The sequence below is a fragment of the Homo sapiens genome, chromosome 10 (genome assembly GCF_000001405.40).
Source record: "Homo sapiens chromosome 10, GRCh38.p14 Primary Assembly".
Lineage (NCBI taxonomy): Eukaryota > Metazoa > Chordata > Mammalia > Primates > Hominidae > Homo > Homo sapiens.
In genome coordinates this window covers 58,983,973-59,002,032 of record NC_000010.11, presented here as the reverse complement: position 1 = coordinate 59,002,032, position 18,060 = coordinate 58,983,973, and the positions used below count along the sequence as shown (strand labels likewise).

The 18,060-nt window shown below is 40.5% G+C and overlaps 1 long non-coding RNA gene across 1 annotated transcript, besides 1 other annotated feature; it reads right to left on the bottom strand.

Annotated features, from left to right (window-relative positions):
• Nucleotides 1-415: 415 nt before the first annotated feature.
• Nucleotides 416-2,515, bottom strand: LINC00844 (long intergenic non-protein coding RNA 844). The gene is made up of 2 exons (NR_108046.1): nt 2,246-2,515; nt 416-804 (listed from the first exon to the last, which is right to left on the bottom strand). It is a non-coding gene; the product is annotated as a long intergenic non-protein coding RNA 844 (long non-coding RNA).
• Nucleotides 8,310-8,359: a silencer, noted in NCBI's record as "silent region_2381". NCBI's record gives its function as "represses an Ori minimal core promoter by ATAC-STARR-seq in GM12878 lymphoblastoid cells {active_cell/tissue: GM12878}" and the evidence as "EXISTENCE:reporter gene assay evidence [ECO:0000049][PMID:35858748]".

The following is an 18,060-nucleotide window of genomic DNA, read 5'->3' as shown; positions in this document are numbered from 1 at the left end:
CACATCTTTGACTTTTGCCTTTACTGATGGCTTTAACTTTATTATTTAAGATCTTGTCTTGTCACTTTCATTGTCTCACAAAAAGGAGGTCACAGAAACCTTGTCTTTTCTAAAGGAATTTTTTTTTAAATCTACAAACTTGTCTCTGTTACCTGAGAGGCCCTTTTTGAATTTTCCATTATAAGCCAGTGGGAAAAACCTTAGAAAACCTGAAGGAAGCCCAGAGTTTAATTTTTTAAATTAATCATCCATAAAATAAAGTAGACTGGTTTACTATAGAAACAAGGATTCCAATCATATTTAACTGCAGTGTCGGGTGAGAGAAGAGTATTCAAAGTAGTGACGAAGGTGGTTAGGGATGGGGTAATGTGCATATTGAGCTGTCATTTTTCAAGCATTCTACAGAAAAGAAATCAGAGATTTTAGAAAATTATTAATGTCATAAACAAGACAAAACTTAGGAGAAACAAAGCAAAAAATTACACCCTGTTATTTAGTCTGAAAATTTTTTACTTACAAAAAAAAATATCGCAAAGACAAGAAAAGAAATAGCTAAATGAATAGACAGACAATTCAAGCAATTTATTGTAAGGAAGAACAATCAACTTCCACAAAGAAAATATCATGGAGATATAACTGGACATTGCAAACACTTTATGTATGGATTCTGATTTAGAATTTACTTGCTTGAACCCAAATTCTCATGCTTCTATGTGACCTGTGAAGAATTATAAGTTCTTCCCTCTGTGAGTCAGATCCCAATTCTGCCATACTGTTTCTGGTTCAGATTTTCTTCCTATAGGTCTGTCAAAAACAAAAAAAAAGAAGAATCACTGGAGTGGGAACTAGAGGCCTTAGGTTCCTGCCCTGCTTCTTGAACTAGCAGTTAACAAATATACCAAGTTACATTTTTGGGTAAAGAATAGCCTGATGGATGAATCTTCCGAAGTGATGTCCTTGGACAAATTGCCTAAATCTGGGTCAGCTTCATGGGCATAAGATCTGTGCGGTCTCACAGAGTCCCATACTTAAAAGGGCTTTGTGCTTAGTTTAAGGCCCTGCTGTCACCATCTTAGTAATTTTTTAACAAGGGACTCCACAGTTTTGTTTTGTGTTGGGCCCATTAACTTAAGCAGCTAGTCTTGCCTTAACACTGCGCAGCCTCTGCTTCCTTTTCTATAAAATCAGAATTGGAAGAGCCCTAGGATCATTTCTAATTTAGGAAGTGATGATACAAACCCTTCAGGATTGTCTGGCATTTAGACAGCACAATGCCACAATCACAGTGAGGAGATTTTTCTGGGATCTGTTTCCAGGACAGTTTCTTTCTTAAATTGGCCACCATACTCCATGATGGAAACTGCAAGACCTACCATGCCAGGGATTATCCTGCTCCCTCTTTCTCCTCTCAGTGACCAACCTCTCATTATAGCACCACTGACTAGCCAAGTGTTGCCACAAGAATGTTGCAAACAACCACCTCCAAAACTTAAGAGGCTTAAAACAGCAGCCATTCTTACTGTTCTCACATTCACAGTTAGCTGGTGGGTTCTGTTGATCTTGGTCAGGCCTGGCTGAGCATTTCTTTGACCATAGCCATCTCTCTCTCCCATGTTTCAGATGGCCTCAGCTGGCACACCTCAGCTCTGTGCCTGTGGTCTCTGTCCCTTCAGCAGGCTAGTCAGGGCTAATAGAGGCAAAGGTCAAGAGAAGGAGCAGAAGCAAGCACAGCTTTTGAGGCGTAGGCCTGGGACTGCATAGCATCACATCTGCTGCATTCTACTAACCAAAGCAAGTCTCAAAGCCAACCCAGGTTTGGAGGTACAGGAAGTAGACCTCAATGAGACCTCTTGAGTAGACTTCTTGATGGGAGGAGCTACAAAGTTACATCCCATGGTGCTTGGATAGAGAGAAGAAAAGAATTGGAGCCCCTGTTGCAATAAATCTGCCGCACTCACATTAATCAAAAGTTCTACTAGCTGTATATATTCATCACAACAAGGTATCACCGTGTGACCCTAAGAAAATCACCTGGGGTCTCCTTCCATTGCCACATCTATATAAATGAGGGTATCCAGATTCACTCTAAAGCCCTTTCTGCTCTGACATTCTCATAGTCCACAGGCTCAGTTCTTACTCCAACCAGTTTCCAATCTTCCCTTCCTCTTCTGAACCAGACACCTGTCTCTACATCCTATATAGGGCATTTAATCATAGACTGGTCAAAGTAGTCAATTTAACTTACTTTAATCTTCATAGCTTTGTCAGGTCCTGTAATTCCTGTAATTCTCAGAGGAAGTTTAAGTTTTGCTTAGCCATGCAAGAAACCTCCTTGCTAAAACTGAACGAGTAGCAAAAGGTGTATTTCCCAGATCCATGTCTATGTCTCTGTGTTTCCTTTGTCTCTACAGAGCAGAATCCTTTCTGATTTCAATGTTCTCTGCGCCACCCCCATCCTCCTATCAGACTGCATCAAGCACTCACAGTCCAGCCAAACCACATTGGCATGGCTCACTGCAGGCCTTTGAGCAGGGGCAGCATTCTTTTAAATAAATGAGAGGGACAGTGTGTTCTTGCTGAAGCCTGCAAGGTCCTGTCAGCTTTACGCTTGCTGATTTACATGGCTTTTAAAAGACATAACCATAAAATTTCACTCCAAAATTCACTCTGGCCAGTCAGATCTTTGCCTAGGCCTGGCAATTTTAATTTACCAAAGTAACGAGATAATAGTTTAATTTTTCCCCTTGTTGGATGCCCCTTTAATCTTCATAATTCACGATACAGCTCTTTCTCCCAGTAAGCTCTCTGATGGGAGTCTATGATCTAGATCTTGTTTTATTTTTTCTTAAGAAATCATTAAAGCGCAGAAGCTATTCCTACAAGGATCTGTAATCCTAACGTGTAGAACCAGTAAAGCACCACAGAGCTGGATAGTGGGATAAACATGCTGCATGTGGCTTCCTGGGCACGTGCACTAGCTGCTTTTGCCACTGGTTCAGGGAACAGGAGCTAAATTTGGTCTGTATTATTGTGTTTTAAGCTGAAAACTGATTCTTGGCTGGCAGATATGCTTTTTTCTTTTCTTTTTTTTTTTTTTTTTTTTTTTTTTTTTTTTTTTTTGAGACGGAGTCTCGTTCTGTCGCCAGGCTGGAGTACAGTGGTGCAATCTCGGCTCATTGCATGCAACCTCCGCCTCCCGGGTTCAAGTGATTCTCCTGCCTCAGCCTCATGAGTAGCTGGGACTACAGGCATGCGCCACCACGCCCAGCTAATTTTTGTATTTTTAGTAAAGATGGGGTTTCACCATGTTGGCCAGGATGGTCTTGATCTCTTGAGCTCATAATCCGCCCACCTCAGCCTCCCAAAGTGCTGGAATTATAGGCGTGAGCCACCGTGCCTAGCCAGATATGCCTTTTCTTTGCACATTCATTTGTGTTTCATTGTCTCAAAAATAAACTTGTCTTTTCAAATCAGGAAATCTTCCACTAAGCCAACAAAAAAAAGAGGGGTGATAATAGAGGACTCGCCAGTCTGTCTCTTACTTGCTGACATGCCTGTTTCCTCTGCGGTGGTTTTTGTCATTCTGCTGCATGTGTCCATGTTGGCATCAGGTTGGAGCAACACAGCGGGTTCTTTGGCTCTCAAGGTGGTCTTTAAAAGTCACTGATATTTGGTACTTGGTCACCTTGCCTACCCTTCAATTGCTTTTCTCTATGAAATCTAGTGCTCTGTGCATTGTAGTGCTTTCTCCAATAATTAGAAAAGAAAAACAGAATCTCCAAAATTCCTAGATCAGGGACTGTTAGGTAGGTAGGGAGGGAGAAAAGGGGCAGAGACGGTTACAGCCAGCCTCACATTTACAAAAGTCTTCACCTTTTCACTTTTCTTGCTTTCAAATTAGGTTATATATATAAAACCACGAAGATACAGAATTAAAAGCAGGCATTAATCTTATGCCCCATTCTGGTTCTAATGTACTTTAATGTTTATAAAATGATAATTATCTTTAAAATAACACTCTCTTGCAACATACTTACTGTGACAAAAGTTTTCATTTATTTAATGAAAATATTTAAAATATTCTGTAAATGTCATCACTTTATTCTGGCCTGTTTTATTTTTTAAATAAACCAGGAGACTCGAATACTCAAGGTTGCTGGAACTTCTCTTAACTTCTGAAGGGCTCTGCTTTGGACAAATTAGTTTTGTTTCATTGTGCATTACTAACCTCTTCTAAAGAAAACCATAGAGTAGAAGAAATGTGGCTCACATGTTTGGGGTAGAAGAAAGAGGTGGACACTCAATCAGGTAAAACATTGTCAAGAGCTTAGGTCCTAGACAGGAGCTGGTATAGTCACTTATAGAAAGATCAAGGCTGAGAACACACCATCTTGAGATGGGACCCTCTGAGCTCCCTCTGGATTTCCTTGCACAGGTCACTTTAGCTTTCAGAATGTTGTGTCAACACCTTGGCTTGGCACACAAGAATCTTTACAACTTGGCCGCTGACCACTGTCCAGCTCTTTCTCTCTCTCCACTCTTCTTCCCAGACCCTTTGCTTTGGTCCTATCACGACAATCTTAAAAATGCTATTGAACACTCCCATCCTATTGAAGGGCATGCTATTGAACTGCCCTTAAACTCCTATCCAGTCGTCATGAAGCATTCAATCTGTATCTCATGCCTCTGGGCTCCGATAGAACCCTGGGAATATTTCTACCACTTACCATTCTGTATTTTAATCTTTACTTTACCTGTCTGTTATCTTTTTTGAAAGAAAGGCTATATTTTCATCATTGTTTTATTCCTCCTTTATAGTAAAATACATGGCACATGACAGAGTCAATAGTGAATTCATAAATGCATGAATAAACAAAGTAGACCAGAAACCTATTAGAAATACAGAATCTCGGGCCCCACCCCCAGATCTACGAAATCAGAATCTGCATTCTAACAAGCTCCCCAGGGAATTTGATTGCACTTTCAAGTTTGAAAAGCACTGATCCAGCTTACTCTGCTCTCTCACTTCTGTAAACATCTGGAGTACTGATTGTCTAAGGTTCTGGGTTTAGTAATTGTTAATGTACCTGTCTTGCACTCTGCTTAATTGATTTGTGTGAGTGTGTGATTGTGTGTGTATGTTACTGTATGCTCACACACTTCCTTTCTTGTCTCCTCACCCAGAAGCCTACATGGGGGCACTCTTGACATTCCGTCACTACTCCTCTCAGCACCCAGAACTAGGTACTACCCAGAGTATTTTTAATCTTCCTGGAAAAATATCCCATAAGAAGATAAAATCTGCTACCTAAGCAATGGGCAAAGTGTTGGGGAAGAGTGATAGGGAAAAGAGCACTAGCTTTTATTGAGATTCTACTAGTAGGAAGTACTGTTGACACTGTATGTACTACATCTCATTTAACCTTATGTAATGAGTTAGGAATCATAACCCCGATTTTACCAGTGAGGAAAACTAGGCTCCTAAGTATCCTCAGTCTCACACAGATAGTCATGAAACTGGCATTTGAACACTTCTTAGTCTTCTTTTTTGAAATTGTGGTAAAGAACACACAACATAAAATTTACCATCTTAACCATTTTTAAGTGTACAGTTCAGTATTGTTAAATAGCAATATATTAGCATTGTCGTGCAACAGATCTCTAGAACGTTTCATCTTGCAAAACTGAAACTCTATACCATTGAATACCAGCTCCAATTTTCCCCTCTCCCCACCACTTCTTTTTATAAACTAGTCAAAGGTGTTATTTTGCTCATCCTTCCTTATCTTTCTTTCACTTTCTCCCCCTTCTCATAGTACCATATTTTACACAGCTATGGCTTATCCCAACAGCAATGAAGGCAACCTGAAGATCCTAAGGTCTCAGGATGTTGTCTTCCCTATGGAGTCTGTGGAGCAAGCAACAAGGTTTGCCAATGGAAGAAAATCAGAGGAAGCTGATTTGATTCTTGTAATGTTGGAAATTAATCTGTATACTTTCTCTATGTTAAGGGAAGCTTTGAATACAGACCATTATTTCATTGAAAAAATCAGTCATGCCTGTCTAAAATGATCACTTTGCCACCAAGCCACATTCCTGAGGCCAGGATTCTAGTACTGTAGCCTCAGTGACAGCATCCTTCTGAAGCACCATGAGGGTAATACACATGACCAGTCCAGAAAAACTCTGCCTGCTTGCCTTGCCTGCTGAATGGGATTGTTGCTGGCACCAAACATACACTCCCTGAAGGTGAGGCAGAATGAGATGGAAATGGTATCTTATTCTGTCTGATATAATGTTTGTAACTCTGGCTTGTGTGATTTTTGCATAATTCTATTTAAATACATTCTTTATTAGAGATTCAAAAGCAGGAAAATATTTACATTGCATATTAGAAAGCAATAATGGCCTAGAGAGAGCAGGTATAAATGCCAAGAGGGGCAACAGACTTCCCCCCAGAGCCTCCTGTCTCCAGAGTCCTGTGTCATTGAGGGTACATCATGCAGTGATGGGCTTGTACTAGGCAGCTAACATCCCCACGCTCCAACCTGTGGGAACACAAGGGTCATGTTTCCCCATTTTTCTGGATTTCATGTCATCAAAGATGACGGAATGACTAACTATAACAAGGGTCCACCCACCCAAAGTCACTTATTTTAGATCCTGCAGCTCTGTTGTCCGATTTTGGTGACAGCAGGAGTTTCCTGTCATAATTCTAAGGCCTCGAGGGAATGCCTAAGTCAGCAGACCTGGGCTTAAATCTAACTTTACAAGCAATAGCTCAATGACCTTGAGTGACATAACTATTCTGTGATTCGGTTTATTAAATGAGATAAGTTGGAGGAAGCAAATATATTTCCTGAATCGCTTAATAAGTGTTAGCTATTGGTATTTTTATTATCTTATTATTGCCATTTTTAATAATATAGCCTGGACTAGAACTTATATTAAGGACTGAAAACTACAGCCAGTGTGCCAAATCAGGCCCACCTGTGGTATAAATCAAGTTTCACTGGAATACATACGTGCCCATTTGTTTATATGCACTCTGTGGCTATTTTCAAGCTACAATGGCAGAATCCAGGAGCTGTGTGACAGAAATCAGATTTAGAAGTCTGGACTTTGGAGTGAAAAGATAAAGGTTAATGATTCTCCTTTGCTCTTCCCTAGCTGGATAACATTGCGTAATCATTGCAACCTGAACTTAAATTTCTTTATTTGTAAAATGACGATAATAAGAATATCCACATTACATATTAGTAGTGAGGATTAAATTAAACAACTCATATTTAAGCTGTATATAAGTATTTAAGTCCTATAAGAATTCATTCATTCATTCATGTGACAGACACTGGACCAGACACAGAAAATTCAAAATGAAAAAAAATCAGAGATAGTCTGTGACCGTCAGGAGCTTATCTTCTGGGAGGGAAGATAGGCTGGTTGATGCAAGGTGTGTTTCCTAATTCATCAATCTCATTATCATTAATTTGTAAAATGGTCAGTTTGAATTGTGAAAGCACACTCTATAGGGAAATGCTTATACTTTATAATTCTGCCTTTGGCTCAGCCCAGGTCAGAGATATTAACTCATACATTTTTCAGTATTTAAGTTGTTTATTTGCTTTTCTTCAAACAATGAATCAGCCAAGTCCTTCAAAAGAAACATATTCACAGAGTTAGACAAGTTGCCTGGTGAATGTGACACATGCAGAGATGCCCACAGGATGATTTAAGCCTTTGTACACTTATAAAACAAAGTTCAACCAAGCAAAATGGTGCTCTGCAAGAAAAATGCACAGACCAAATATAAATACACATGAATCCAGCACAGACTCAAAAAAACAGCTAAGAAAAGAATATGCCATCGGATTTTTTTTTCTGTTGTTTTTCATTTAGAGAACATTAGTTTCTGGAAAATTACAAAGAATAAGCAGGCAAAAATAACTTTGACTGAAAATGTTCACCTCTAAATAATGTTTCAGTTGAATGACAAAGAACTGCTTATTTGTTCTAATTGTAGGCCAATCTCCCATGACACTTTTAGATGCCAATTTACTTAGTGTAAATATGCATTAAGAACACACCACTCCTCACTAATTTTATTAATAAGTTTCTTCTCCTTAAATTTTCACTACACTGGAGAAAGACTAATAGCGTGTTAAATATTTATAATCTAATAAGCAATCTACCAATTTTTCTATTAAAAGAGTATCACTCTCTTAAAAGAAAAAAAAAAAGGCTCTCAGATGCTGATCAGTGTGCAGGCGTGTCTCCCAAGTCAGTCATCTGACCATGGTTTTTACGCCCTGTGCACAAAAGGGACATTTAGTATGAAAGCGTAAACGAAAACTAGGGGCTGTTGTCAAAATGTCAACCATTGTGCTCATATTAATAACCACTGCAGCTGTCTGAGGCTCAAATTAGAATCTTTGAAACAAGTTAAACACTTCCAGCACTATTTAGAGCCATTTAAAGAGAACAACAAAATTTTACGTTGAGATCTTTTACTAGGTGGTCTTTAAAATAAAAATCTCTTTAGAAACCAAAACTAAACTTTTTTTGAGATGCCATTATGCCATTATCTGAGAAATCCTCATTTCCAATTAACTAAATATCCCAAAAGCTGGATTCAAAGGCATATTAATTTATGCACATGTGCTCACATGAACTCAACGTAAATTCTTAGAATCCAAAAATAGAAGAGCACTTTCCCTGGGACGAGTATGCTTCTCCCATATAAGACATCACAAACAGAGTAGCATTATTCCCGGCTACCTCTTCTGGCATTGGAAGAGAACAACCATTTTTAGCAAGGACAACCATTCATATTGGAGCCAGGCAACTGTATATCTCTGAACCTCCTGGACTGAGGAAGAGGACCAGCATCCTTTCAAAGGAACTGTTCCAAATGCACATCAACTACAAAAAAATGCATCCATCTTGGGATTGAAGAAAACCTGTGAACTAATCCAGATGACCTGGCAATGTGTAAGTCACTTACTGTGTCAGCTGCTTCAGAGGGACAGCATGAACTTCAAATCATACTGCTTAGGTTCTTCAGATGGCCTCTAGGGACTTGTAAGGGGAAAACTTTCTGTGTTAAGGTTCCGAAATAAACTTTTTGAATTGCAATAAGACACAGCACAATACCTGGGAGCAAATAAACTGATTTCCCAAACAGGGAGAGACAGCTGAGTGTTTTATTCAAATGACAAGTCCATTCACCACCCTCTGACAGTTTCAATCTAACTCATTGAAGTCCAAACGAAGTAGATGAATGTGCTATTCCATTGTTCCCTTTAAATTTACACTATTGGGAAGCACCAGAGCTACTACTGGGAGTCAGAAATTCTTGGTTCTACTCCTGGTTCTGCCCTAATTACCCTTGTCTACCTTACTGGGGTATTAGAAGAACAAATGGATAATATATATAAAAGCATTTTGAAAAGTATAAAGTAATGATCTATTTAGTAGATAAACATAGATTAACTCCCTACTAAGTACCAAGCATAACTGCAGATGTCATTCCATCCTTAGAGCAATGCTGCAAGATAAATATTATGACTCTACTTTTACAGATGAAGAAAATGAGCCTCAAACAAGCTATGTAACTTGCCACACATCATACAGCTATGACACGAAAAGCTGAGATTCAAATTCAGGCCTTTTCAGTCCAAATCTAGGTCTACTTGCTCCTATGTCAAGTCCCTTCTAAATTTACACTAATATGTGAAAGAATGCTAAGATTTAGCTGTCTTGTACCAAACTCCAAGTTAGCAGGTGACCTACATACTTGAACTCAGGGTACCCTAACCTTCTAGTGTGGGAGAAGCTTCTTTTCATTTCATTGAAACCTGAAGGAATGGTGCTCACAGGGAGCTGGTCAATATAAGTGAAAGAGAGGGCAATGCTGTTCCTGCATGACCTGCCCCTGTCATTTTCAACCAGGAGATATGGTGCAGCAATGAAGATATTGCTGGTAATCAGCTTGGAGAGCTGCCATGTAAGCTACAAAGTACACACTGGTAAACTTGCATCTCTTAATCAAGGATCTCTGCCCTTCTGCAAGGAAGTGCAGGATGTAAGAATTTTATGGAGCCCTGGTGGAGAAGTTTGGGGAAGGAGCTTTTCTTGGGACCCCTTAAATCTCAAGATATACAAAATGCCCAGTAATGCCAACATGGTTGCAACTTAAAACTTTTGAGTATACTCATCCCATAAGCTATATAGGTATACTTAAGTAAAGTATACTTAGTTTTATATTTTCCCCTGTTCCCGCATAGCTTAACAACTCTCCTTCTTATTTTGAGCAGATAATGACATTCTAGAGTTATATGCACAACCCTAAGGCCATAGAATGTATTAGTTTGTTCTCACATTGCCATAGAGAACTACCTGAGACTGGCCGGGCGCAGTGGCTCACGCCTGTAATCCCAGCACTTTGGGAGGCCGAGGCAGGCGGATCATGAGGTCAGGAGATCGAGACCATCCTGGCTAACACGGTGAACCCCATCTCTACTAAAAATGCAAAAAATTAGCCTGTGTGGTGGCGGGCACCTGTAGTCCCAGCTACTCCAGAAGCTGAGGCAGGAGAATGGCATGAACCCAGGAGGCGGAGCTTGCAGTGAGCGGAGATCGTGCCACTGCACTCCAGCCTGGGCTACAGAGCGAGACTCTGCCTCAAAAAAAAAAAAAAAAGCACTACGTGAGACTGAGTAATCTATGAAGAAAAGAGGTTTAATTGACTCAAAGTTCTGCAGGCTTAACAGGAAGCATGACAGGGAGGCCTCGGTAAACTTACAATCATGGGAGAAGGTGAAAGGGAAGCAAGGAGCTCCTTCACAGGGTAGCAGGAGAAAGAGAGTAAAGGGGGAACTGTCACACACTTTCAAACCATCAGATATCATGAGAACTTACTTACTATCATGAAAACAGCAAGGGGAAATCCTCCCCTATAATCCAATCACCTCCCACCAGGCCACTCCTCCAATTTGAGATTTGGGCAGGAGCACAAATCCAAACCATATCATTCCACCCCAGCTTCTCCCAAATCTCATGTCATTCTCACATTGCAAAATACAATTAACCCTTCTCAACAATCCCCCAGTCTTAATTCATTTCAGCGTTAACTGAAAAGTCCACAGTCCAAAGTATCATCTGAGATAAGTAAGTTCCTTTGGCCTATGAGCCTGTAAAATCAAAAACAAATTAGTTACTTCCAAAACACAATGGGGGTACAGGCATTGGGTAAATGCTTTCATTCCAAATAGGAGAAATTGGCTAAAACAAAGGGGCGACAGGCCCCATGCAGGTCCAAACCCCAAGAGGGCAGTCATCAAATTTTAAAGCTCCAAAATAATCTTCTTTGATTCCATGTCTTAAATTTAGGGCATGCTGATCCAAGAGGTGGGCTCCCAAGGCCTTGGGCAGCTTTGCCCCTGTGGCTCTGCAGGGTACGACCCCTGCAGCTGCTTTCACGGGCTAGAGTTGAGTGCCTGTGGCTTTTCCAGGTGTATAGTGCAAGTTGTTGGTGGATCTACCATTCTGGGATCTGGAGGATGGTGGCCCTCTACTCACAGCTCCACTAGACAGTGCCTCAGTGGGGGCTCCAACCCTACATTGCCCGTCCATGCTGCCCTAGTAGAGGTTCTCCATGAGGGCTCTGCCCCTGCTGTAGACTTCTGCCTGAATATCCAGATATTAGCATACATCCTCTGAAATGTAGGTGGAGGTTCCCAAACCTCATTTCTTGCATTCTGAATATTTGCAGGCCCAACACCACGTGTAAACTCTCAAGGCCTGGGGCTTGCATCCTCTGAAGCCATGGCCAAGCTGTACCTTGGCCCATTTTAGCCATGGCCAGAGCTGGAGTAGGTGGGAAACAGGGCACAATGTCCCAAGGCTGCACAGAGCAGCTGGGCCCTGGGTCTCACCCACTAAACCATTTTTCCCTGCTGGGCCTCTAGGCCTGTGATGGGAGGGGCTGCTGCAAAGGTCTCTGAAATGCCCTGGGGACATTTTCCCCATTGCCTTGGCTATTCACATTCAGGTCCTCGTTACTTATGCAAATTTCTGCAGCAGACTTGAATTTCTTTTCTTCCACATGGTTGAGCTGCACATTTTCCAAGCTTTTACACTCTGCTTCCCTTTTAAATATAAGTTTCAATTTCAGATCATCTCTTTGTGGATGCATATGACTGTATGCTGTTAGGAGCAGTCAGGTCATATCTTGAACACTTCAATGCATTAGAAATTTCTTCTATCAGATGCCATAAATCATCTCTCTCAAGTTCCATGTTCCACAGATCTCAGGAGCAGGAGCACAATGCTGCCAGTCTGTTTGCTAAAGCACAGCAAGCGTGACCTTTGCTCCAGTTCCCAATAAGTTCCTCATCTCCATCTGAGACCACCTCAGCCTAGATTTCATTGTCTATATCACTACCAGCATTTTGATCAAAACCATTCAACAAGTCTCTAGGAAGTTCCAGACTTTCCCACATCATCCTGTCTTCTTCTGAGCCCTCCAAACTGTTCCAAACTCTGCTTCTTACCCAGTTGCAAAGTCGATTCCACAATTTTAGGTATTTTTATAGCAGTGCCTCACTCTTCTGGTACGTTTTCTGCTTTCTCTTCTGGTTCTAGTCTGCTTTTATCCTGCCATAAAGAACTACCTGAGACTAGGTAATTTATGAAGAAAATAGGTTTAATTGACTCACAGTTCCATAGGCTTAACAAGAAGCATGACTGGGAGGCCTCAGGAAACTTACAATCATGGTGGAAGGTGAAGGAGAAGCAAGGACCTTCCTCACATAGTAGCAGGAGAGAGAGACAGCAAAGGGAGAAGTGTCACACTTTTAAACCATCAGATCTCATGAAAACTCATTCACTGTCACAAGAACAGCAAGGGGGAAATCCACCCTCACGATTCAATCACCTCCCACTGGGCACCTCCTCCAATTTGACATGAGATTTGGGCAGGTACACAGGACACAAATCCAAACCACATCATAGATGAATATGGGTCAAGCAATTCTGTCTAGTAGCATGGGTCGGCCTCAGAAACCAGCTTACACATACACACACACACACACACACATCCCTGTATATCCACTGCACAACCTACCCTGTAGCCTCTCAAAGCTATAATTGAGGACTGCGAAATCACCTGACATAGGCTCAGGATAAATTGCAGAAGCAAGTGTGTTGGGGGCTTCCAAGTCTATTCCAAGTTGCAGCTTCTTCTCAGGCAGCTGCTATAGCTCCCAAGCCAATATCAGAGGGCCCCACTACCACCATCAGCACAGAGGCCCTGATCCAGGCAATGGCCCTGAAGACTTCTTAGCGGTTGATATGCCCTGTCACTGGGAGGGAAAAAGCTGCCTTGTAAAATGGCTCCTTTCATTTATAACATTGGCTCCATAGCCAGAATCAGAATCTGTTTGGATTTCCTTCACTCTTCAGCAAGTCAGTGAAATGCTTTTCATTTTCTCCCATCTCTAGGGAACCTCCTTTACAACATTTATCAATGAGAAAACAAAATAACTCTGGACTCACACCTGTGGGATGGAGCTGGAAGGTGATAAAATAGCATCCATTCATTCTGAAACAGAAGAATTTTACACTTTGTATGGAGCTAATGTGCTTAGACTGCAAAAAGCAAAGGAACTAAAGTCCTGAAGCCTTTTTTCCCCTCTCCTTGCCCCTTCCCTTAAATATGGAAACAAAATCCACAGTGTGCATGTGAGAGTTCCCTTCAATGAACTGCTTCAGTAAAACTTTGACGCTGCGGGAACCACCTTCGAGCAGATATTGCCAGGACCAAGCAGGTCTGGGAGATGCTAGGAATTCTCAGTGACGATTATCTGCCTTGATCCAATTTAGAGCCTTCAGCATCCCCAACCCTTCTGATTTTGATATCTGTTGCTCCTGACATCATTCCTCCTTATTACCTGCTTATTATCTCTACTTCTTCTTTCCTCTCTATGTCCTTATCCCTGTGATCCTGATCCTGGACTCTGCCAACCTGATTCTAAAGATTGTCTTCATTAACAACCAGGAATTAGAGCTGTCTACTTAAAATGCATTATGCCTGCAATTTCCAATGGAAATAAAAACTCATCGAGTAAGAACTCAGTCTATTCCTCGTCACTGACCAAACGGCAAAGATGTTTCTTTGTTTTGAGCATTTACAAGGACTTAAAAGCAATTAGCTTGAAACTTGATTTGGGGAGTTCTCTTACAACAATTTAACAGGAAAAAAAAAAAACAGATCAAAGTGTTCATAAGAGGCCACTTTGTCTGTCTCTCTGGAATTCTGTGCTTTCTTACATTGATGTTCAGGTACTTTGGACAAAACAAACTGATGTGAAGACAAATAACTTCTTATGGTCAAATAAGTATTCCAATATATGGGCAGGAAAAAGCTCTAAAATGAGGAACTGTCTTCACCTGTACTTTGATTGCTACTTTTGTTTTTCTCTCTCTCTACACACTGGTCCTTTGCTCCCAGGGCATCTGTCTTGTCAGTGTAATTTAATGCATATCAGTCTAGTGATAGAGAAAGCGATGCTGTGTCACCATCCCTTCTGTCTTAGCTATACTTTTGCCAAAGTGGAAGTACAGCTCTAGAATCATTTATAGGTCTGTAAATGAAGAAGTAGGAAAAAATGGGTCTTGATGGTGTGGCTGCTGCTGGTCTTCTGGGCAAAAACAGCTTTAAGCAAAACGAAGGTAGCTTTGAACAAAGTGTCAGTAAAGGTTGAATTGTGTCCCCCACACAGATATGTTGAAGTTGTTGGAGCTCAGAACAAGAAGACCCGAAGTATAGCACTTCAGCATGCTGAGTACTTCAAACTTTAGGACACTGGAAGGGCCTCAGAAGCAAGGTCTCTCTGACCTTCTCCTGCCCTCCTGTTTACAGCCTCTCTTTCACCTCTGAAGCAAGTCATAGAAACTAGAATTTCTCTTCTCCAAGGTGGGTCATAAAAACTGGAACCCTTTTCTCCTAAAGCAAGCCATAAAACCTAAAAAGGTCTCTCTCTTCTCCTTTCTTCCTTGAAGACTTTCATTCTAGAGGGGTTCTGCCCCATACCTGGGTAGAAAGAGAATGCTATTCAGAGAGGCTGAGAAGAATCTGGACGGGCCTTGCTAGGTTCTCCACCTCAGTTTATTACCATTAGATCATACCCTTTTGCCCAATCACATTTCTACATGGCTGTCCATTCTTCATCAAAACTAAGCATAAAAACAGTTTTCCCTGGGTCTTTTGGTCATAATTTCAGAAGTCTCTTTTGTTGTGTAAAACTTTGATTAAATGAATTTGTTATGCATTTTTTTTGTTGTTAATCTGCCTTTTGTTAAAGGAATGTCAGCTATGACCCTTATAATGGGTGAGGAAAGTTATCACATTTTCCTGCCCCTACAAAATCTTAAGTTTGGTACCTGTGAATTCAACCTTTGGAAATAGGATCTTTGAAAATTTCATGAAATTAGGATGAAATCATACCAGATTATGGTGGACTCTAAATCCAATGATTGGTGTCACTGATAAATTTCATTCTAAATGCCCAACTCAGGTACATTTGCCATTGAAAAGTGGATGCAGTTAGGTTTTGATTTTCACATAAAGCCCCCAATTTCATAGGTTGTTTGTGCAAAATCCAAGCAGCCTATTCTTCTGCATAGTCTGAATCTCCTTGACAATGATCCCTCTGTCCCATCACCCTTCACCAGTTGGCACCAATCCCTTTTTTTCTGTCATTAATTGTATTGTTAATGTATCTCCCAATAGATCAGAACTTTCCAACTTCAAGTGTGCATAAAACTCAGCTGAGAAGTGTGTAAACTGCAAACTTTTAGATCCTATGCTCAAAGATTCTGGAGTGAGTTTGAAGTGAAGAATTCAGCATTTCCCTTTCAATTTATCTCCCCATTTATTTTTCATTCTGTTTCAGACTTTTCCTCCAATGATTCTCTCTCCCTCTCTTTGCCTCTTTCTCCATCTTAAGCCTTGTGAGAGACCGAAATGAGCTTGAGGAATAGCAGAACTAAAACTCACAAACACCAAACATTTCTACTCACAAACATTATTGAGTATTAAAAACAAGTAAATAAAAAGATATCAGAAGAGCACAGTCCCATGCTTCTCAGACCTGGCTGCACAGTAGAATCACTTGGGGAAACATTTAACAAACATCGATGCCTGGTCCCACCCTCGACCATTTAGATTAGAACCACTTGGTGGAGGAGGCTAAACACTGGCAAATCTTATCACTAACCCAAGTGATTCCCCATGGGCAGACAGGGTTGAGAATCCTTAGTGTAGTCAACAGATATAGCTGCACAAATATGGATCCACAGTGTCCCCTCTCTGTTCCTCACAGGGATGCTTCCAGGGTGGTGACAGTAGTGAGGGGTGAGGAATCGGCCAAAGCTAAGAAGCTCCTGAAAAGAGCTCCCAGACTTTTACTTCTGCCCCTCCTCCCACTCTTATCAGCACCCAGAAGTATCTTAGGCCAGCAGGTGAGGCAAGTGTTACTCAGTAAGCCATGGCCCCTAGACCTACTTCCTGGGGTCCTGGATCTGATGTTTTGCTACAGCATACCAAGGCAGTCCCTCTCATTCTACATCTGGGTCACAGTCACGTAGCATCTTGCACAAATTGAATCTAGGGACTTTCCATTTGTGTCCCCTTAGAGATTTTCCAGAAACATGCCTATCCGTAACATACTTTTCTGAAAAACTATCTTTTATGTCCTCCCTTTTTCACTTTCAGTGATGTACATTAAAGGGCAGCCACAATCTATTCACTCTGCCTGTCTAAAATTTAGTGAATTATCCTTCTATTGAATTATTCTTTATTATAATGAATTTAACTGGAGAGAGAAGTCACCACTCATAGTCCCTTCCATCCTCCTGACAACTTTTTGAGATTTTGCCTAGAAGAAAGGAGACCTTGCTTTCAAAACAAAGCTAATGTTTAAAACTCATTACATTTAAATTTTAATAGCTACACAGTATTTTATTATATGCACATACCAAGTTTAATTAACCAGTACTATACTGATGAACATTTAGGTTGCTTAAATATTTTACTACTATAAACAATCATGAAATGAATGTTTCTACATATTTTGTATCCATATGCACTAGTATATGTGTAGGACAAACTCTTAGAAGTAGAATCTTTGAGATAAAGGGAATATGCATTTATAATTTTGAAAAATATTGCAAATTATCTTCCAAAGAATTTTATTGTTCACTATCTCATCCCTGATGTCTAAAATGGACTACTCCTCATATCCTCACTAATGCAATGCAATATGAAACTATTTTATCTTGTCATTCTGATATGTGGATATGAACTATCACTAGAGTTTTAATTTCCATTTCTATTGTAATGAGACTGGACTTTTTCATATGTTTAAAAATTCTGTATCTTCCTATGAATTATTTCTTCATTATTTTCCAATTTTTCTACTGAACTTTTAGTTTTTCTTATATTTTCTTATATCTAATAAATTAGGAAAATGAGTCTGTTCTCTTTTATATATAATGTGAATACTTTTCCTTAGATGCCCATTTTAACATTATTTGTTATTTTTTTCCTGAAGATTAAAACATTATTTAAATAAATGTATTGATAGCTTTTATAATCACTGGATTTTATGTCATAGTTAGCAAGGCTTTCCACTCTCTACAGTGTATATAAGCTGGGCACAGTGGCTTGTGCCTATAGTCCCAGCTACATGGGAGGACTGCTTGAAGCCAGCAGTTCAAGACCAGCCCGGGAAACATAGCAAAATCCCATCTGTAAAAAAAAAAAAAAAAATTAGCCAGACATGGTGGTATGGTGCCTGCAGTTCCAGATACTCAGGAGGCTGAGGCGGGAGGATGGCTTGAGCCCAAGTGTTTGAGACCAGCCTGGGCGTTACAGGAAAACTCTCTCTCTCTCTCTCTCTCCATAAACACACACACACACACACACACACCACACCACACACACACACACACACGTTTTCTTCTAGCACTTCTCTGATTTCTTTCCTTTTCTTTCTC